At 47.6% G+C, this 21500-nt stretch overlaps 2 protein-coding genes and 1 long non-coding RNA gene across 7 annotated transcripts, besides 4 other annotated features; 1 reads left to right on the top strand and 2 right to left on the bottom strand.

Moving 5' to 3' along the window:
* Positions 1561-1990: a silencer, noted in NCBI's record as "silent region_4559". NCBI's record gives its function as "represses an Ori minimal core promoter by ATAC-STARR-seq in GM12878 lymphoblastoid cells {active_cell/tissue: GM12878}" and the evidence as "EXISTENCE:reporter gene assay evidence [ECO:0000049][PMID:35858748]".
* Positions 1907-19116, top strand: GLS2 (glutaminase 2). 5 transcript variants are annotated; one of them, NM_013267.4, is made up of 18 exons: positions 1907-2131; positions 9681-9780; positions 10167-10288; positions 10887-11016; positions 11806-11885; positions 11972-12135; positions 12350-12408; positions 14091-14123; positions 14386-14444; positions 14958-15024; positions 15172-15222; positions 15348-15524; positions 16474-16605; positions 16748-16840; positions 17317-17378; positions 17873-17949; positions 18232-18295; positions 18425-19116. In NM_013267.4, the coding sequence occupies exons 1-18, from the start codon at positions 1950-1952 to the stop codon at positions 18579-18581; spliced, it is 1809 nt and encodes a 602-aa protein (NP_037399.2). In that variant the 5' UTR covers positions 1907-1949; the 3' UTR covers positions 18582-19116. The 5 variants fall into 5 exon arrangements, with proteins under 5 accessions (NP_037399.2, NP_001267725.1, NP_001267726.1 ...); NM_001280796.2 differs by having other exon boundaries at positions 14885-15024; XM_005268797.1 differs by lacking the exon at positions 1907-2131 and adding an exon at positions 2469-2573.
* Positions 2151-2370: an enhancer, noted in NCBI's record as "active region_6502". NCBI's record gives its function as "activates an Ori minimal core promoter by ATAC-STARR-seq in GM12878 lymphoblastoid cells {active_cell/tissue: GM12878}" and the evidence as "EXISTENCE:reporter gene assay evidence [ECO:0000049][PMID:35858748]".
* On the bottom strand, positions 2736-3228 carry LOC124902944 (uncharacterized). Its single transcript, XR_007063331.1, has 2 exons — positions 3116-3228; positions 2736-3081 (listed from the first exon to the last, which is right to left on the bottom strand). It is a non-coding gene; the product is annotated as an uncharacterized LOC124902944 (long non-coding RNA).
* On the bottom strand, positions 10360-21490 carry SPRYD4 (SPRY domain containing 4). The gene is made up of 2 exons (NM_207344.4): positions 21392-21490; positions 10360-21029 (listed from the first exon to the last, which is right to left on the bottom strand). The coding sequence occupies exons 1-2, from the start codon at positions 21474-21476 to the stop codon at positions 20491-20493; spliced, it is 624 nt and encodes a 207-aa protein (NP_997227.1). The 5' UTR covers positions 21477-21490; the 3' UTR covers positions 10360-20490.
* Positions 20643-20772: an enhancer, noted in NCBI's record as "active region_6501". NCBI's record gives its function as "activates an Ori minimal core promoter by ATAC-STARR-seq in GM12878 lymphoblastoid cells {active_cell/tissue: GM12878}" and the evidence as "EXISTENCE:reporter gene assay evidence [ECO:0000049][PMID:35858748]".
* Positions 21193-21242: an enhancer, noted in NCBI's record as "active region_6500". NCBI's record gives its function as "activates an Ori minimal core promoter by ATAC-STARR-seq in GM12878 lymphoblastoid cells {active_cell/tissue: GM12878}" and the evidence as "EXISTENCE:reporter gene assay evidence [ECO:0000049][PMID:35858748]".

Raw genomic sequence — 21500 nt, 5'->3', positions numbered from 1 at the left:
CAAAAACAAATGTCACTCCATCTGGTTTTAAGCCAAATAAGCCCTCCAACCCTAACCAAGGCAAAGGAGAACTGCCTTTCCACAGAACACACCTGACTGGTTTCAGTACTTGTTTTCCCACGAGTACCCTTGAAACTCATTTTAATCCAAAAATGAAAACTATGGGACAAGCACGGTGGCTCATGCCTGTAATCCCAGCACTTGTGGGAGGCTGAGGCGGGCGGATCATCTGAGGTCAGGAGTTTGAGACCAGCCTGACCGATATGGCGAAACCACATCTTTACTAAATACAAAAAATTAGCTGGGCGAGGTAGCAGGCGCCTGTAATCCCAGCTACTAGGGAGGCTGAGGCAGGAGAATCGCATGAACCCAGGAGGCGGAGGTTGCAGTGAGTCGAGATTGCGCCATTGCACTCCAGCTAGGGCAACAAGAGCAAAACTTCGTCTCAAAAACAAACAAACAAAAACTAGTATTTTGTGATACAGCCAGAACTATCACAAGGAAAAGACTCCCAGTACTGTATCATAATACTTCCACATAAAATACCTCCTTTAGGGATGGGGTCATTTCTCCCGGGATAATTCAATTCAATGCTTAATTTTTGAGAAGGGCTGCATGAAGGAGAGACTTGTAGTTAAAAAAAAAAAACGGGTCTAATTTCTGGTTCTGGTACTTACTAGCTGGGTTACCTTATGCGAGAATTCTTAATTTCCTAGTCTTAGTTTCCTCACCTTCAAATTGAGACTAATAACTACTTTGTAGGTCTCTGGTAAGAGGGAGAGAGAAACTAAGCGGTTGGAACACCATGGGCACTCAATAATAGCTATCATTTACATAATGAGTCCCTACTAAATATGGATGCTGGGTTAGGCGCTGCCGAGATACAAGGTGAAAGTTCTAGCTGCAAATGGCAAAAGTCCTGAATGTTCTTGGATTTCAAAATGCTTTTTGTATATCGCCTCTTTTCTGCCCGTGAGGAGGACAAGGGCAAACAATTAAAATAGGAAAAATGTGGGGAGCACTTCATGGTTTATAAAACGTTTTTCTGCGTGCCAACTTATTTTAATGTCTTAACTTTCCAGATTTGAAAACAAGTCCTACACCAAATAAATGGTAGAGGGACACAAACTGGAACCCAGGCTTCCTAACCGCCAGAGCGACCTTCCCGCCGCCCAATGCCTCCCTGAGGTGCTGGTCGGCTGCTTCTGCCCGGGGTACCCAGCAGTCATCCTACTCTCCACTCAGCACCACCGCACGTCGGCCGCGCGCCACGCTACCCGCCGGGTTACTGGGCGCTGGTTTGGCCTTCGGAGGTCGAGGCTCTCTGAGTGACCTCCTGAACTGGGCTCACTCTTACTTAGCCTCCTCTCTCGAGGCAGCACCCTCCTCTCTACACGACAACTCCATCATTCGCAGCCCCACGGTGTTCCCGGGGAGCGCCTCCCGCCCCCACCGGCTTCGCCTCAGCTTGTCCTCGCCTTTCCCGCCCTCAGCATCCGCGGATACCCGCGCTCGCCGGGCCCACGCGGAAGCATCCGCAGACTGTCGCAAGGTCCCACCGTCTTGCTCTCATTGGGCAACCTTACCCTTTCCCCGCCTCAATGTTTTTGCTTCCTCAGTGATTGGACCTGGGCATTGTCCATTCCAGCTCCCAGGCACCGCCCTCTCTCCACCCACTAGAAAGCCACCCGGGTTCTCCTTCATCCCCAACGCTCCTCACCTAGCCCCTGTCCTGAGGGTGCCCCTAACCCTGGAGCCAGCTTTAAAGGGGCAGGCCCCTTCTCCTGCCCCAGCCCCAGCCCCACCCACCGGGCCCACATTCTCCGTCTTCCAGGTCCAGCGCTCCCTCACAGAACTCCCCCGCACCTTGTCTCGCTCGCTCCGCCCCTCCTTCCCAGCCACAGCTAGAGGTCCCGGGCGCACCTGCAGAGCCGGAGGCTTGCTGGGGCATGCGCTCCATGAAGGCTCTGCAGAAGGCCCTGAGCCGGGCTGGCAGTCACTGCGGGCGAGGAGGCTGGGGTCACCCGAGCCGGAGCCCCCTCCTTGGCGGGGGCGTCCGGCACCACCTCAGTGAGGCCGCGGCGCAGGGCAGAGAGACGCCACACAGCCACCAGCCGCAGCACCAGGATCAGTAAGGCTCCTGGGACAGGGCAGGGGACGGGCTTGCCCCCACTCCCACTGTGGTTCTCGCTAGTTCCCGAGTGCCCTTCCAAGGCAGCGCCGCTCATCTCCCCTCTCCTCGCTCACTAGCCCTCGGTGCCTTTTCCTTTGGATGTGGGGCTTTGGGTGCGCCGCGCTCGGGCGGTAATCTGCCGTCTGCCTAGGAGTGCGTTCGGGCAAGCGGGTCCTGGGGATGGCGCCTGTCCAAGGTGCGCACTTAACCCGGATCACAGATGCGCGCCGAGTGTTGCTTGGCTCACGTGTCTGAGTGCAGGGCCGGGCTCACGCCGCCAGTCCTCACCTTCCCTAGTCCTCGTGTGTATTTTAGGAGATGCGTGGATGTGGAACAGCCTCCTGCCTCCGGTCCAGGTGTACTGGGGTCTGTGTGTTGTGTTTCTGCGTGTTCTCGGCAGGTAATGTGTGATGCGCGTGTATTATTGGTGCGCAGGTACGTCCATAAGTGTTGGGTGTGTGCGTAGCAGTGCTCCCTGAACAGCAGAATGGGGGGGAATTTCCAAACTGGTTGTTGAATGGGGAGAATATTTGTAATGGAGGAAAGGTCTTTAAGACGCAGATTTCCCAAACCAGAGCCAGTCAGAGCCTTTATTTGTGCTGCCCAGGCTCCAGAATCTAAAACGTTCTCTTCCTTTGGGTGTTTCTTCCACCCAGGATGCCAAACCTTTATCTTCCCCACCGCCTAGGACACACTTGGTGGCTGAGCCTTTTTCTCTGAGACCCAGACGGTGCTGAGCAGGAAATCTTGTCCTCCCCAGAGGGCCAGCATAGACACTGTCCAAAGAGCCCCTGCTCTACTGTAGCAGGAACAGGAAATGGGCCATCTCCCTCGTCGCTGCCATCTCCCTGATGACACTCAGAAACATGGACACCATCAGTAAAGTAGCCAGACTGACACAACACTACCTCACCACTACTCGAGTCTCTGACACAACACTACCTCACCACTACTCGAGTCTCTGTCGTAAGGGACACCAATAGGTATTATTTATTATTAATGACATTATGCAGTACTTTTATTTCTTTCTTTTTTGAGACGGAGTCTCACTCTGTCACACAGGCTGGAGTGCAGTGGCACCATCTCGACTCACTGCAATCTCCACCTCCTGGGTTCAAGTAATTCTCCTGCCTCAGCCTCTCGAATAGCTGGGATTACCTCGAGTAGCTGGGATTACAGGTGCGCGCCACCACAACCCGCTACTTTTTGTAGTTTTAGTAGAGACAGGGTTTCACCGTGTTGGCCCTGCTGGTCTTGAACTCCTGACTTCAGGTGATCCGCCTGCCTCAGCCTCCCAAAGTGCTGCGATTACAGGCATGAGCCACCACGCCCGGCCCTTTTCTCTTTTTCATAGTCATGGTGTCTGCTTATCCATATTACACAGTACTTTCCCATCAGCTTCTTCTTAAAGAGACACAGAACATTTAAAGGATAAGCCCTCTCCCTCCTGTTCTAGTCTCCACCCCAACTTCCCCCCAGGTATTCACCATGGGAGAAATAATGGTGGGATACAGCAAAGGCTGAACTTCCCTCATCTGTCCGCCTTCTGCAGAGTAGGGAACTAGAGGTATCCCTGGTTCCCCACACACACACCTCCTTATCCAGTGGAGTCTGGTGATGGAAGTGTTTTTAGGGGACCTTGTTTCTTCTGCCCAGGGAACCCCCTATCATATCCTCGGACTGGTGCTCCCCAGGCAGAAAGGGTTGAGAGCACTGGAGAGTGATGTGCTCTGGCAGTGTGACACCATGATGGGGTGGGGTTCCTGTGTTTGGGGGAGGAAAGAGAGCAGCAAAGAGGAAATGCGCTGTTATTCAGGTTATTGTTTGTTTAATATTTAGCTATTTAGCTGTATTTATGACTTTTTTTTTTTTTTTTTTTTGGAGACAGAGTCTCTTTGCCGCCCAGGCTGGAGTGCAGTGGCGCAATCTCGGCTCACTGCAACCTCTGCCTCAGCTTCCTGAGTAGCTGGGATTACAGGCACCCACCACTACGACTGGCTAATTTTTGTATTTTTAATAGAGATGGGGTTTCACCATGTTGGCCAGGCTGGTCTCAAACTCATGACCTCAGATAATCCACCTGCCTCGGCCTCCCAAAGTGCTGGGATTATAGGCGTGAGCCACCGTGCCGGGCCATATTTATGACTTTAAAAGAAACACAAGAGTATCAAGAGGAAAATATCCCAACACAAAGAAATGATAAATGTTTGAGATGATGGATATACTAATTACCCTTATCTGATCACTATAATCCTGTGTATTGAAACATTGCTATGCATCCCATAAACATGTGTACAATTATGTTTCAATTAAAAAATATATAAATTTAGAGCCAGGTGCAGTGGCTCACACCTGTAATCCCAGCACTGTGGGTGGCCAAGGCAGGGGGATCACTTGAGCTCAGGAGTTCGAAACCAGCTTGGGCAGCATGGCAAAACCCTGTCTCTGCCAAAAAAAAAAAAATACAGAAATTAACCAGGCATGGTGGCGCATGCCTGTAGTCCCAGCTACTTGGGAGATTGATGTGGGAGGATCACTTGAGCCCTGTAGGTCGAGGCTGTAGTGATCCATGATTGCATCACCACACTCCAGCCTAGGCAACAGAGCAAGACCCTGTGTCAAAAATAAATAAATAAGTTTATTACTTAAAAATTTTAAAAAGAAATATCCCAGTATTAGAGATAACCAATTAATATTGTGATATATTCATATATATCCTATATATGTATATGTAATTTAACAAAAATGGGATAATAGTCATATTCTTGAACTTATCTTTTTCATTTATGAACAGCTTTTAATATCATCGAATGTGTATGACATTGTCATCTTGTCATTTTAAAAGATTCCATTGTTTGAGGTATCATAGTTTATATAACCAGTCTTCAATTTGGTTACTATATAGTCTTGTACACTTGTTCAATTATTTCATAAATTCCAAGGAAATTTTGCCCCCAGAGATAATTTGATGTCATTAATATCATGTATAGTCTTCTAGAGATATTTTATGCATAAAATACATGCTGATACTACTTTACCTTTTTTTATACAAATGGTATCCTATAAACAATGTTCCTATACCTTGCTTTTTTGGTATCATACTATACACATTGCTGTTGTACGTTGCTTGTTTTCCCTCAACATTACATTGGTGATCCATCCATATCTGAGGGATATGCAGTTTTTTTAGGCTTGTGATACATTCAGTGGTATAGCATTATTTCCTGTCTTCTGTTGGCTTCCAGGCAGAGTCCTGCCTTCAGAGTGTTCCTATGTACTTTCCTTCTTGAGTTATCCCTCAGATAGCTTTTTTCCTCCTCTCCCCCCTATAGGCATTAGCTTCATTGTGACAACCGGATTTCCCCAGAAGCAGGAAAACTCTTCTGGTATTCCCTCTTCTGGTACTCCTCCTGACTCCAAACACACACATGCCTAGTCTATGCCAAGCTGTTTGAGTATTATTTTTTAATCCATTGTTTCAATAGATAATATATTCCATATGGTTCAAAATTCAAAATATACAAAAGATAGTGAAAAGTATCCTCCCATCCCTTTTTCCTGGCACCTATGTCATCTCTGTAGAAGGAGATGAATCAATCTTACCTATTTATGTATTTATGTATTTGAGATGGAGTCTCGCTCTGTTGCCCAGGCTGGAGAGCAGTGGCGTAATCTCAGCTCACTGCAACCTCCGCCTCCTGGGTTCAAGCGATTCTCCTGCCTCAGCCTCCTGAGTAGCTGGGATTACAGGTGCGCGCCACCACACCCGGCTAATTCTTGTACTTTTAGTAGAGATGGGGTTTCACCATGTTGGTCAGGCTGGTCTCGAACTCCTTACCTCATGATCCGCCCACCTTAGGCTCCCAAAGTGCTGGGATTACAGGCATGAGCCACCATGCCCAGCCAGTCTTACCTATTTCTACCTAAATGGTCTTCTAGAAATATCCTGTGCCTGAATAAGCAAACACATATATATTTTTCCCTTTTAAACCTGTGCTTCAACCTGAGAAAACTGATATAAGAAAAAAAAGAAAAAACAAATGAAAAAATAAAGCTAGCACTAAAGAACTTACTCATGTAACCAAACACCACCTGTTCCCCAAAAACCTATTGAAATAAAAAAATAAATTTAAAAATAAAAATAAATAAAACTGGGCATGGTGGCATACACCTATAGTCCCAGCTACTAGGGAGGCTGAGGCAGAAGGATCACTTGAGCCCAGGAGTTCAAGGCCAGCTTGAGCAATACAGCTAAACCCCATCTCTAAAAACAAACAAACAAACATAAATACTACCACACGCTTCTTTTAGTTAATATTATACTGTTCTACAGCACGCTTCTTTTAGTTAATATTATATCTTAGAGATAATTCCATATCAATTCTTAGAGCACACCCCAATTTCTTTTTTTTACACTGCATAATATTGCATTATATGAATATACCATAATTAATCAGTTCCCTATTGTTGCACATCAAGTTGTTTCTAATCTTACTATTACTAACAGTGTGATGAGGGCCGGGCGCGGTGGCTCACTCCTGTAATCCCAGCACTTTGGGAGGGGGAGGCAGGCGGATCACAAGGTCAGGAGTTCGAGACCAGCCTGGCCAACATGGTGAAACCCTGTCTCTACTAAAAATACAAAAATTAGCTGGGCGTGGTGGCACGTGCCTGTAATCCCAGCTACTTGGGAGGCTGAGGCAGGAGAATCACTTGAACCCAGGAGGCAGAGGCTACAGTGAGCCGAGATCACACCATTGCACTCCAGCCTGGGTGACACAGCAAGACTCCGTCTCAAAAAAAAAAAAAAAGAAAGAAAAAGAAAAAAGAAAAAACAACAATGTGATGAATAATTGTAAATATGTTATTTTTGAGGTGTGTGAGTATACCTGTAGAATAAATCACTGAAAGTCAAATTACTGGGTCAAAGATCTTTGAAGGGTCTTAATCGCAACTAGCTGTCATATTTGGAAATAATCTGATAAAATAACTCTGCTTGGCTGGGTGCGGTGGCTCACGCCTATAATCCCAGCACTCTGGGAGGCTGAGGTGGGAGGATCACTTGAGTCCAGGAGTTTGAGATCGGCCTAGGCAACATAGTGAGACCCCTTTTCTACTTAAAAAAACAATAACTCTTCTAAATATTTTAACATATTAATGGAAATCTTGAAAACTAAGAAGTCTTCAGTACCTGGAATTTTAGGTGTTATAAGCCAGAGAGATACTTTGGGACACAGGGACCTTGCTAGCAATACAACTTAGTAATTCTTATCGAAGACCCACTGTGTGCTAGGGACTTTGCTGAGGGCTAGGAAGACAAAGATGTATAAAACACAAAGACCTAACTGTGGAGCAAGGGAGATTCTTCTGTCAGTAAGATGGTGTGTTGTGTCAAACCGGCAGCATAAGCAATATCTGGAGGTTTGGGGAAGCCTTTACAGAGTTGGTGACATTTGATCTGGACTTTGAAGAATGAGCAGGACCATACTAAGCAAAGGTCCTTCTATGCAGAAGTTACAGCATAAGCAAAGGCCAGGAAGCCTCACAGTTCCTGGCCCATTTTGGGGAACCATCTATATTGCCTGTTATATCTGGAGTGTGGGCATGATGGGGAATAGGAAAGTTAAGTGGGCAGGTTTTATTTATTTTACTTTATTTTTTTTTTAAACAAAGTCTCACTCTGTCACCCAGGCTGGAGTGCAGTGGCACAATCTCGACTGACTATAACCTCCACCTCCCAGGCTCAGGCAATTCTCCTGCCTCAGCTTCCCAAGTAGCTGAGATTACAGAAGCCCACCACCACACCTGGCTAATTTTTGTATTTTTAGTAGAGACGGGGTTTTACCATGTTGGTCAGTCTGGTCTCGAACTCCTGACCTCAGGTGATCTGCCCGCCTTGGCCTCCCAAAGTGCTGGGATTACAGGTGTGAACCACCATGCCCGGCCAATTGGCAGGTTTTAAAGAGCTTTTGATGTCCTACCAAGTTTTTGTTTGTTTGTTTTGAGATGGAGTTTTGCTCTTTTTGCCCAGGCTGGAGTGTAATGGCGTGATCTCGGCTCACTGCAACCTCTGACTCCTGGGTTCAAGCAATTCTCTTGCCTCAGCTTCTGGAGTAGCTGGGATTACAGGCAGATGCCACTATGCCCGGTTAATTTTGTATTTTTTAATAGAGACAGGGTTTCACCATGTTGGCCAGGCTGGTCTCAAACTCCTAACCTCAGGTGATCCGCCTGCCTCAGCCTCCCAAAGTGCTGGGATTACAGGTGTGAGTCACCATGCCCAGCCTACTTCTTATTTCAAGTGCTTATTCTGTAGGCACTGGGGAGCTACCAAACGTTTTTGAGTAGAGAAATTACATTTGAGTTTAGAAAGATCACTGGCACATTTTGACTGGGCGTGGTGGCTCATACCTGTAATCCCAGCACTTTGGGAGACTGAGGCAGGCGGATCACGAGGTAAGGCGTTCGAGACCAGCCTGACCGAAATGGTGAAACCCCGTCTCTACTAAAAATACAAAAAAATTAGCCAGGCGTGGTGGTGCACACCTGTAATCCCAGCTACTCAGGAGGCTGAGGCAGGAGAATCGCTTGAACCCAGGAGGCGGAGGTTGCAGTGAGCCGAGATCGCGCCATTGCGCTCCAGCCTGGGCGACAGAACCAGACTCCGTCTCAAAAAAAAAAAAAAAAAAAAAAAAGATCACTGGCACATTTTAGAAGGTGGATTGAGGCAACAAGAGCAAAACTCTGTCTCAAAAAAAAAAAAGATGGATTGAAAGTCAAGAGAGTGTAGTGGCAATTAGGTAATAGGGAATAAGGAGCTGATGATAAACATGATTTATTGAACATTTACTTTGTGTCAGGCAGTTTTTCACAGAATATTATCTTAAGCCTCACATCACCCAGGTGAAGTAGACATTACTACCCTTGTATTACAGATAGGAAGCAAGTTCAGCAATATTAAGCGACCTGCTCAAGATCACACAGCTATTAAGGGGCAAACTCTGGTCTACTACACCATGCTGGCACAGGGAAAAGGAGGAGAGGGTGGATTTGAGACATTATGAGGCAGATTCATCCAATGTTGGTGACCAACTAAGCATGGACTTAAGGTGTGGCAACTATCAAAATGATGCCACATTTCCAGCTTGGCACCCAGGTGGGTGGTAATGCTGTTAACCCAGGTGGGAAACAAGAGGAGAAGAAGAGGGAAGGAAGTGAGATGACTCAGGTTTGGACATATTTTTCAGTGCTTGTGGGGAACCTATAGGTGGAAGTGTGAGAAGGGAGCTAAAAATAAAGATCTGAAGGTCAGGAGTAAAAGCTAGAGAAAAGATCTACAACTTCTTAGGACAGACATGAAAGTTAGATTTATAGGGATAGATCAGATGGCTTAAGGAGGAGGCATAGAATGAGGACACTCACCTACTTATAAGCCCATGTTGCAGAAGGAGGAGCAGGTAGCAGTTCTCAGGCCCCACTTTCCTCCCCATTCTCTGCCCCCAAACAGTGATTCATCAGAAAGTGGCATGCTGTCCCGCCTGGGTGATTTGCTCTTTTACACTATTGCTGAAGGACAGGAACGAATCCCTATCCACAAGTTCACCACTGTAAGTTGCCCTCTACCTGTTCAGGATCCTAATTCCTTAAGATCTCTGAAAAGTGGGGAAAGGAGGGTATGACAAGTGCAGGGCAGCTAATGGGTTGCTACATGAGGGTGAAGCATACAGATGGATGAGAATCCAGATGTCTAGGCTGACAAGACAAGCCCATCCCTGCCCCAGGGTCAGAAGATTAAACCCTCTGGAAAAAGGACAGGAAACCCTTGTTAGCCTTCAGAGCTACTCCATCCCCTCCTTTCTTATTCTCCAAACCCATTTGTTCCACCTATTGTAGTGGTTGGGGTTCAGCTAATTGGGTATCCAGTGGGAAAGATTATGAGGAGTACATCACTGTCCTTGTAGCTGACCTTTCTGGCCTCTTCTTTCCTCTAAAGGCACTAAAGGCCACTGGACTGCAGACATCAGATCCTCGGCTCCGAGACTGCATGAGCGAGATGCACCGCGTGGTCCAAGAGTCCAGTAGTGGTGGCCTCTTGGACCGAGATCTCTTCCGAAAGTGAGGGCCCCAGAAACAAGGGCACTGCTCTCTGAAAACTGTCCTGTGGACATAGACTCTCAGAGCAGGGAGGAATTTGGGAATTGTATAGTTCAATTCCTCATTTTATTTTATTACTTATTACATAAGTTATACATGAATACTCATCATAAGAGTTCAAACAATATAGAAATACATGTTCTCCTTTCCCTCCCTACTCAATCCCTGTCCTCTTTTCCCAGAAGTAAATATTAGCAGATTAGTGGGTATCTTCTAGATAATGTCCTATGTACTGACATACATACATGAATATATATAAATATACTTTTATGATTTAGGATTTTTTAAATATCAAGGTAACATACATACATATTATTCTGGTATTTATTTTTTTTCTCATATCCCAAGACATAGTGTCTTTCCACATCATTAAAACCCCTCATTTTAGAGGTACGGAAACTAAGACCTAGAAAGGTAAACTGATTTGCCAAAGGTAACAGAGCTGTTGATCCCAAACCTGAAGACCACTCAACCTTCTTTATTCCCAATTTCCGTGGCTCCAGAGTGAGTCCCAGCTGCATTTCTCTAGCCCCCTAATCCAATCGTGTCTGGGATCCAGGTGTGTGAGCAGCAACATTGTGCTCCTGACCCAGGCATTCCGAAAGAAGTTTGTCATTCCTGATTTTGAGGAGTTCACGGGCCATGTGGATCGCATCTTTGAGGATGTCAAAGAGCTCACTGGAGGCAAAGTGAGAGTCAGGGGACTAAGGGAGGGGTCAGGGACCTGGGCCAGATTTTTTTTTTTTTTTTTTTTCCTGAGACAGAGTTTTGCTCTGTCACCCGGGCTGGAGTGCAATGGTGCAATCTCAGCTCACTGCAACCTCCACCTCCCAGGTTCAAGCGATTCTCCTGTCTCAGCCTCCCGAGTAGCTGGCATACACCACCATGCCCGACTAATTTTTGTATTTTTAGTAGAGATGGGGTTTTGCCATATTGGCCAGGCTGGTCTCGAACTCCTGATCTCAAGTGATCCACCCACCTCGGCCTCCCAAAGTGCTGGGATTACAGGCATGAGCCACCACACCTAGATATACCTCGCTTCTCAGAGATTTCCTGGGGCTGGGAGTCCTATGAATGAGAGATGAGAAGCAGAACTTCTGTAAATGGTGACATGGCTTCATGTGTTTCTATACACGATTCCTAGAGCAGGTGAGGGAATCAAGATCGAATAGAGCCTTCAAAGGGATTTATAGGGTAACTGAGCCTAAGAACCAAAAGGGGAAGGTTGCCTCAGAATTCTCCTTTTTTAACTTCCATTGGCTTTACTGCTATCTCTACAGGATTGCGGATACACAAAGATATGGCCTTCTAGGACTTAAGGCTCGGGCATTTCTGGGAGCAACAGGCAGGAGGGAACCCCTCTGCCCTATAGAAGACAGAATTTTAGCTTTTATCTAAAAGATTCTCTTGACCCTCAACCTCAACTCTGTTCCTCTTCTCCACATCCATCTCCCTTTTCTCTACCCACTCATGTCCAGGTGGCAGCCTACATCCCTCAGCTGGCCAAGTCAAACCCAGACCTGTGGGGTGTCTCCCTGTGCACTGTGGATGGTCAACGGTGAGATGCTGGGCAAGAGGAAGGGGAGGCAGGGCACAGGTGCCGAACACAGGCCAACCCCTTTCATGGCATCTGTCTGCCTCCAGGCACTCTGTGGGCCACACAAAGATCCCCTTCTGCCTGCAGTCCTGTGTGAAGCCCCTCACCTATGCCATCTCCATAAGCACCCTAGGCACTGACTACGTGCACAAGTTTGTGGGCAAAGAGCCAAGTGGCCTGCGCTACAACAAGCTCTCCCTCAATGAGGAAGGTGAGCACTACCAAGGCTCAGACCGTACTTACAGCTGTCCCCTTCTCCTTATCCCCACCCCATCTCCCAGCCTTTTTTGTTTCTCTGCCCTTCCTGATTAGCCCTGTCATGCCTTTCTCCCTAGCAGTCTTTCTTGTCTAACCCACAAAGTGAGCGGGCTGTCAGGGAGGCTTTGTTCAGTGGCTAAGACTCTTGGTGGTTTGTATTTCCCCAGGAATCCCCCATAACCCCATGGTCAATGCTGGTGCCATTGTTGTCAGCTCCCTGATCAAGGTCAGTGCCACCTTAACCTTCTGATAGGTATTATCCTCTAAGCTCCTGTGTTCCTGTATCCCTCATATTTGTTCAGCTCTCCAGGGAGACTGGTGGGGCTCTGATTCCTTTGAGGGTCCCCAGAAGGCACATGAGGCACAGCAGGGACCCACATGTTATGCTGACAATGTCAGTATAAGAGACTGCACCACCTCCGTCATCCCCACTCAGTACTGTTCCCTGCCCCCACCCATGAGTCTAGAGCCTAGAGCTTTCTGACCCTTAGAGAAGTGAGCAGGTCCTGACCCCTGCCTAGGACCAAGGGCCAAATGCCAGAGACAAGGGGAGGACAGCACTATTGGGCACTGATTGGCCACTTCTGGGTGTGGGACACCTGCAGGCAAGGGTGAATGGCCAGGCCAGGGCAGTTATTCACGTCACCTGGAACTGTGAGTTGGCCTTGAACAGGGTGTCAGACTAGCCCATCAGCTGTAGGTCTCCCAGGGCTTGAGCAAGAACCTGGGAGCAGCTGGGCAGCAACACCCTGGAGCCAATCACAGCCCCTCCTGGGGAAGGTGGTGTTAGGAATCCTCCCCTCAGGGACTCAGGTATCAGAGTCCCTGTGGTATTGACTCTGTAGTTGACACATGAGTAAGCAATGAGTCTGGGTGAGGAAAAGAGGCTGAGTCTCTCCCCTTGTTCTGTGATGGCTCCATCTACAAACCTGTATCTGGGACCTGCCTCATCCCATTCCCATCTAAGTAGGACCTTTTTTAAAAAATATAGAGGCCAGGCGCGGTGGCTCACGCCTGTAATCCCAACACTTTGGGAGGCCGAGGTGGGCAAATCACGAGGTCAGGAGATCGAGACCATCCTGGCTAGCACGGTGAAACCCCGTCTCTACTAAAAATACAAAAAATTAGCCAGGCTTGGTGGTGGGCACCTGTGGTCCCAGCTGCTCGGGAGGCTAAGGCAGGAGAATGGTATGAACCCGGGAGGCGGAGCTTGCAGTTGAGCCGAGATCCTGCCACTGCACTCCAGCCTGGGCGACAGAGCAAGACTCCATCTCAAAAAAAAAAAAAAAAAAAAATTGAGGCAGGGTCTCTCCTATGTTGCCTAGGCTGGTCTCAAACCCCTGGTCTCAAGCGATCCTCCTGCCTCAGCCCCCCAAATTGCTGAGATTACAGGCATGAACCATCATGCTGGCCAATGGGATGGAGTAAAGCTCCAGCATGGGGTGTAAGGAATGGGGATGGAGATCAGGGATAGGGTGGGGCTAGGAGACAGGATTCGAGTCAGGAAAATGAACGTGGGAGTCAGGGATGAGGGTTTGGATTGAGAATGGAAGTGGGATGGCCCAGCAAGCTGGCTCATGCCTGTAATCCGAGCTACTTGGAGGCTGAAGTGGGAGGATCGCTTGAGCCTGGGAGGTCAAAGCTGCAGTGAGCCATGATCGTGCCACTGCACTCCAGCCTGGGTGACAAGGGTGACAAAGCAAGACTGTCTCAAAAAAAAGAAAGAGAAAGAGAGGAGCCAATGGAAGTGCGGTGTTTTCAGAAGGATAAAAAAAGGGCCATTATAAAATTGAACACATTTGCAGCAGCAGGACCAGACTAACACTAGAACTCCACTAGATCCTTCTGACCCTTCCCTCTGTCATCCTCCTACACTTAGAATGCTGACATCTCTCTCTTTCTCTGCAGATGGACTGTAACAAAGCAGAGAAGTTTGATTTTGTAAGTTCCCTTGCTACTTAGCCCCTGGCTGCATTTCGCCATGGCATGCTGTCCTCTCCAGCTGCCCCAGTGGCTCTCTAACCCCACTACCAGGTGCACCAGCCCATACTAGAAGCCTTATTTCCAGAAATGTGGAAATCTGCTGGCCTCAGAGAGGAAAGCCTCTTGACAAGACCTGAGTTCAGAAGGGCTAGTCAACCTGTGAGGTATTAATAGAGCTTCTTAACCAAGTGGAGCCTCAATGTCCCTTTTTCTCTTCCAGGTGTTGCAGTATCTCAACAAAATGGCTGGGAATGAATACATGGGTTTCAGCAATGCCACGTAAGTCCCTACTCAGAGGACTGACTGAAAGCATTGTGGTGTATGTGTGTGTACTTAGGATGGGGACAAGAGGAATGGGGGAGAGAGAATCTTAGGAGGAAGAAATCCCAGGGGAACTTTGGCCCTCCAGCTTCCTCTGAGTCCCTTCATAAACATTTGTTTATCTTGTAAAATAATTTGTTCCATTTCTAATTAGTACATAATGAGAGAGGCAGTGTGATGGTTTGTGCCTAAGCCCTTTCTTGCCAAGACTTTCAAAGCCAAAAACTTCACCAGTTTTCCTAGATGACTAGACAGTTTGGGGTGTTTGGTTTGGGTTTACTTTATAACAAAACTATGCTGAGTGTTTGCTCAGGTTCAGAAATTTCCTCTAATATTACTGTGAGAAGTTATAAAGGGGTTCATTTAGTTTGTGGTGTGATGTAGTTCTGTCTCTCCAGGGAAGGTAATTTTTCCCCTTCTCCCAACACCCACTCCTCCAACTTCAAGTACTAAATTGGGTGTTTGCTTCAGATTCCAGTCAGAGAAGGAAACAGGGGATCGGAATTATGCCATCGGCTATTATCTCAAGGAAAAGAAGGTAACCAGAAGAGGCCGGAAGAGAAAGTCCCTGGGAATTCTGCTGCTAGTGGAAGGGCAGTAGGGGTTGGGGGCTTCAGCTGAGACCCTGACAGTGTGAAAGGGCTGATGTCCTGAAGAGAAATGCTCTCCCCTCTCTTCCTTGCAGTGCTTTCCTAAGGGGGTGGACATGATGGCTGCCCTTGATCTCTACTTCCAGGTAAGAAAACACTGCTCAGGGCCGAGGGAACAGGACAGACTGTCCTTGCCCTTGCCCTTTCCCTACACCCGAGGGTCCCATGTGCAGGTTCACGTCACATCTTCACCTATTCTTTGTTTTCATAGCTGTGTTCTGTGGAGGTCACTTGTGAATCAGGCAGTGTCATGGCAGCCACCCTCGCCAACGGTGGGATCTGCCCCATCACAGGCGAGAGTGTGCTGAGTGCTGAAGCAGTGCGCAACACCCTCAGCCTCATGCATTCCTGCGGCATGTATGACTTCTCTGGCCAGTTTGCCTTCCACGTGAGTTTCTGGCTCTGCTATCCATCTGTCATGAGCCCAGTGCTAAGAAGAGAGAACACTGACTCTCTCAAGATAGAGGTGGAAGCTTGTTCCTGCCTCTCATTCACTAACTTCCAGGAAGGCAATTAGGTTGAGACTCCTTAGACGAGTTTCTCAAAAACACCAAGTTCCTCGAATATATAAAGAGATGTCTTTGGGAGGCCGAGGCAGGTGGATCACCTGAGGTCAGGAGTTCGAGACCAGCCTGACCTACATGGTGAAACCCCATCTCTACTAAATACAAAAAATTAGCCGGGGGTGGTGGTGTGCACCTGTAATCCCAGCTACTTGGGAGGCTGAGGCAGAAGTGCTTGAACCTGGGAGGCAGAGGTTGCACTGAGCCGAGATTGTGCCATTGCACTGTAGCCTGGGCAACAAGAGCAAAACTCCATCTCAAAAAAAAAGAAAAAAAGAAAAAGAAAAACAACCAGAGGTGTTGCAGCTCCTGAATTGTGCTTCACATTGCTGGCTCTTCTCCTTGGGGTCTCAGCTTAGATGTCATTTCCAAAGAAAGACTTTTCTGACCACCCTATCTCATGTGGCCCCCCTCTACCTCTATTTACAGCACCCTACTTCTCACTATTTATCACAATTACTTTAAACATTACGTGTCTATTTATTTACCTGTTTATTACCTATCTCCTAACACCAGAATGGAAGTTCCTAGTTCTAGCACAGCATCTAGCACAGAATGCTGTAAGTATTTCAAAAAATATTTTCTAGCTGAATCAATGAATTTAAGGGAAGGAAAGGACAGGAGTAATAAAAGAAGCTAATTAACAAGCCAAAAGGTTGAGGTGGATTGTGGTCATGCAGTCATTTGTAAACTTGTTAAGAGTACAGCCTAACTTGTTTATTTTCTGATTTGGGGCACACCCACTTTATCCTCAGCTTCAGTTCTGTTCCCCAGGTGGGCCTGCCAGCCAAGTCAGCTGTATCAGGAGCCATCCTCCTGGTGGTACCCAATGTCATGGGAATGATGTGCCTGTCACCCCCATTGGACAAGCTGGGGAACAGCCATAGGGGGACCAGCTTCTGCCAGGTGAGATGCTTTGCATATAGTACTTACTATTTTTGAAGCAATAAATTTGTTTAATGGTACCACTTTTACTATAATAAAGCAATTTTGAGCTCCTACTAAGTGTAAGGAGTAAATAAACAATATATTTGGCTTACAATTCTAGAAGTTGGTGTCTCTCTTCAATTTCCACAACTATGACAACCTGAGGCACTGTGCTCGGAAGTTAGACCCACGGCGTGAAGGGGCAGAAATTCGGGTAAGGAAAACTCCAGGTGGCTTGTAAGAATATTTCAAAGGCCAGGTGCGGTGGCTCACGCCTGTAATCCCTGCACTTTGAGAGGCCAAGGCGGGCGGATCACAAGGTCAGGAGATCAAGACCATCCTGGCTAACACGGTGAAACCTGGTCTCTATTGAAAATACAAAAAATTAGCCAGACGTGGTGGCACGCGCCTGTGGTCCCAGCTACTTGGGAGGCTGAGGCAGGAGAATCGCTTGAAACCGGGAGGCAGAGGTTGCAGTGAGCCAAGACCGCGCGCCACTACACTTCAGCCTGAACGACAGAGCGAGACTCCGTCTCAAAAAAAAAAAAAAAAAAAAGAATATTTCAGAGTAGCACATTCCATAACACTTCAGCAATACCCTTGGACTAAGCATCCATGGAGGAGGGTCACAGGGCACAGCTGGCATAGGTGAGTTCAATTAATGTCATGTGGGTATGATTTGTGTTCCAGAACAAGACTGTGGTCAACCTGTTATTTGCTGCCTATAGTGGCGATGTCTCAGCTCTTCGAAGGTAATGCTACTGTGACCAAATATACACAATAAAATACTCCTGGTCAGAGATTTTACTAGGAGGCAGCGTAACAAAATAGTTAAGTGCTTCAGCTTTGGAATTAGAATGGATATAGATTGCATTTAAATGAAATTTTTTTAAAAAAGGAGATTTTTTTTAAAAAAAGTAAACTGTCTGCTCTATGATAATTAATGTTAGCCATTGTTATTGAGTGTTAAGAGCAGTGTCCTAGGAAGTAGGTACCCTGCCTCAAATGGGCACTTACCACAGGTAGGCAGTGAGTGATATTTCTGGAAGGATCACATTCCCATCTCTCTAATATGAGTATAACAGTCTCATCTGGATATGGAAAAAAGATTATTCAGAGCCAACAAATCTGGCTATAGGCTGTTTCACTTTCTCTGAAACTCATCCAGTCTGACACCAGTTCACAAAGAACACCTGTGATTCCAGTCTGATCTAGGCAACTCTAGCTGCTTTCCCACTACCCTCAGGTTTGCCTTGTCAGCCATGGATATGGAACAGAAAGACTATGACTCGCGCACAGCTCTGCATGTTGCTGCAGCTGAAGGTACTGAAGGGTTAAGGAGGGGAGGAGGAGGGTAATCATAAGACCCTTTCTTTTTCACCAAAAGTACCTTCATTATATGTGCCCTCAAGGTTATAGGGGCAGCAACTAGTTTTATCTAGACACCCTTCGGTTTGCAGCTAGACTATGACTGAGTGCTGCAGGGTACAAAATGGGAAGAGGCCTTTTCCCCTCCCCTCTTGGTAAAGACTTCAGTGGCTAAGTGTCTGCACCAAAGGGTTCAAGACCTGCGCCTTCTCATTTTCCTTCTGCCCATATTCCTAGGACACATCGAAGTTGTTAAATTCCTGATCGAGGCTTGCAAAGTGAATCCTTTTGCCAAGGACAGGTGAGGAATAGGCTAAAAGTGGAGGAGGGTGGGCACAGCTTCTCCACCTACCCTCCAGCCACCATGCAAATATATACAACCACCACTCTCCACGTCTCCTTTGCCTGATCATATCATTATTCCTCTCAGGTGGGGCAACATTCCCCTGGATGATGCTGTGCAGTTCAACCATCTGGAGGTGGTCAAACTGCTTCAAGATTACCAGGACTCCTACACACTCTCTGAAACTCAGGCTGAGGCAGCAGCTGAGGCCCTGTCCAAAGAGAACTTAGAAAGCATGGTATGAGCACAGGTCATGGACAGCCCCTGCTCAAGAAAAAGCATGAGCTGGCCACACATGTAATCCATAACCACCAAAAATACTATGGAGAGCTACACTGCTTCAGTGGGGACCAAGCAGTCATTTGGTGACTTAGGCTAGTGCTTTCTATGGGAGTCAAAATACCCCATTCCCTCAGCAGACAGAGTACAGAGAAGGGCCTCAGAGGACACCTGCAGTACAGCTATCCAGAGAGACTGGGCTTCAAGGTACAGCCTAATGGCTTGCCCCACTCAAAACCATCCCAGCTCTTCACCCAGGTCTCCTCTTCCTCTCCCTGAAGAAACCATCATGAGAGAGATACTCTGGTGGAGGGACTCTAGCTACCATGCACATGTACATATCCACAGAATATGGGAAGTGGGAATGGCTATATACATGGCTTTAGTAGTCTGGAGAAATCTACTCCCCTTGGCCAGGACATGCTGCTGCTACTGCTAACAGCCAATTTTATAGACAGAGAAAGTATTTTGTGTTCAAATAAACTTTAATTACCAAATCATTTTTGCTAAACCCAGTCCTTCTTTCTTCCCTAGGGGTATCTAGCTTCATCACCATCATAGAAGGTAGAAAAAGATGGAATCACAGGGTCAAAGCACAGCTTCTCTACCTACCCTACCAAACAGTACATATTCACTTACCCCACCAGGTTTTTCTCAACTCCAAATACTGCTTTAGGTTAAGTGTATTCTGCTGCCAAGGGAAGCATAGGTTTGAGTCTAAACAGGCTCTGAAACAGATTGTGCAAAACCTCAGGCCTCCTTCCTTCCTCGGGAAGTTCCAACTGTGGCAGAAATGAAGATGGAACTTCTCAAGAATAAACAGTTTTGGCCGGGTGTGGTGGCTCACGCCTGAAATCCCAGCACTTTGGGAGGCCAAGGTGGGCTGATCACATGAGGCCAGGAGTTCGAGACCAGCCTGGCCAATATGGCAAAACCCCATCTCTACTAAAAATATAAAAATGAGACGGGCATGGTGGCACACACCTGTAATCCTAGCTACTCAGGAGGCTGAGGCACGAGAGTCGCTTGAACCCAAAAGGCAGAGTTTGCAGTGAGCCAAGATCATGCCACTGCACTCCAGCCTGGGTGACAGAGTGAGACTCTGTCTCAAAAATAAATAAATAGTTTCTAGCACTCATCCCCTAGATATCCCCCAAGTGTCTCTCTTCCCCTTTGGTCAAGGTTATAACTGGGATAATGATTATGACAGACTGGCTGGGTGTCAGAGGTACAGATTTAAGGTAGATGGACTCAGGGTAAGGATAGCTACAGCTGTGTGGGGCTGAAGGTCTGTGGCACTGAGCTACTGGGGAAGGAGGGCTCTGTTTTCATTTTGACACACTGAGTTAATAAAGCACTTACTGAGGGAGCCAGAGCCCAAACTCTAAATGTGCTGTAGAAAAAGGGCCAAGTCATTGACTGCACCACTCCTTCAGCCAGAGGTAGAAAGGATTTACTCTTCAGCCATCTGGTAGAGCCCCAAGAACAAGTTACATGTGGACAAAGGGAGGGAGAGGTATCATGGTGATTAATAAATTCAAACAAAGCTGAATGATAAGACCCCAGGATGGAATACAGTCTGAGAAAGGCCTGGGCAAAGGGAGGCAGAGGGACTGAAGGAAGCAGGTCAAGGAAGATACACCCATGGTAGCCTAGGAAATTGGCAGTAGTTGGTGGGTGGGGAAAAGGAGGGTTTGGCTGTATGCCTAGCTTTCACAAGGTAGGGGATGAGGAAGATGATCATGATATTGCACAGAGGACCCAACACTGAATTGTGGGAGCTAGAGGTTGCTTGAGGCAAAGTAAAAAGGCTTCGGACACTTTCAAAAGGAGGCTGGCCAAAGGCGTGATTAGGGACTCCAGTAATGGACATACTAGAGGCCCTCGGGCACCTCAAGCCCTGAATGGGTCAGCAGCTCCCCATCCCAGAGAGCAAAGGCAGGCACCACTGGACCCCGGAAATCTGTCTGTAGCGTGTGAACCACAGAGACCTGGCTCACATCCACCAGGCTCAGCTTCTGGGCCTCATACTCCAGCAACAGCCCCACCTTCTCTGGCTGCCCAATACCCTCAACTGGGGCTTTCTCGTTGGCCAACATGGTGTACCACTTGCGCTGGGCATAGGTGAACACCCAGGAACGATCATCAACACCAATGCAGCTATCCCGGGACATGTCCACATCTGCCACTCCTATCCGGAACTGCTGGGAGCGCTTCACTGTCACTTCCCAGTAGTGTCTGCCACTGGTGACCGCTGTGTCTGCCAGCACCACTGCCCACTCCCGGAAGCGCTCCACATTCAAGGCCACCTTGGTGGGCTCCAATCCCACCAAGCCATATTTGACACCCGTATCATCTCTGAAGAGTGCCAGGCTGCTGTGGGCGGTTTTTTCTTCCAGTTTGAAACTGACGCCTGCGGGCAGAGCAAAAAGACGGGATAATAACAGGGGCTAGAACCCTAGGGCTGGTGATATATTCAGATATGAGGCAGGCAGCCATGATACACGAGCAACTAGGGAAGAGTCAGAATGCCAAGCGGGCAAGAGAGTCGCGAGGTCGCTTTACTACGGATAGCTCACGGAGCTGAAAAACTCGGATTGAGTAAGTCCCGGAATTTAAAGAAACCAAATGGTATCACAGGTTTGGAATCTTAAGACCAAGGCAGGTGGGGAAGGAAAAGACCCGAGAGGGTTGGAGTTGCTTCTCGGAGTGGGGTCTGGGAATAATAGACGGCAGCCATTCTGGAGGTAAAAGAGTAAAAAGAGATAATCCTACCTCTCTGGGCCTCTGTGGAGGCAACTCCCAATCGTTTGGCTCCCCAGCGGCACAAGCGCAAAGAACGTGCAAAAAGCAGCGCCATCTTGCGCCTTGGATGAACCGGGCA

Source organism: Homo sapiens, chromosome 12 (assembly GCF_000001405.40).
Source record: "Homo sapiens chromosome 12, GRCh38.p14 Primary Assembly".
Taxonomy (NCBI): domain Eukaryota; kingdom Metazoa; phylum Chordata; class Mammalia; order Primates; family Hominidae; genus Homo; species Homo sapiens.
The sequence above is the reverse complement of the archived record's forward strand: the minus strand, read 5'-3'. Positions and strand labels throughout refer to the sequence as shown.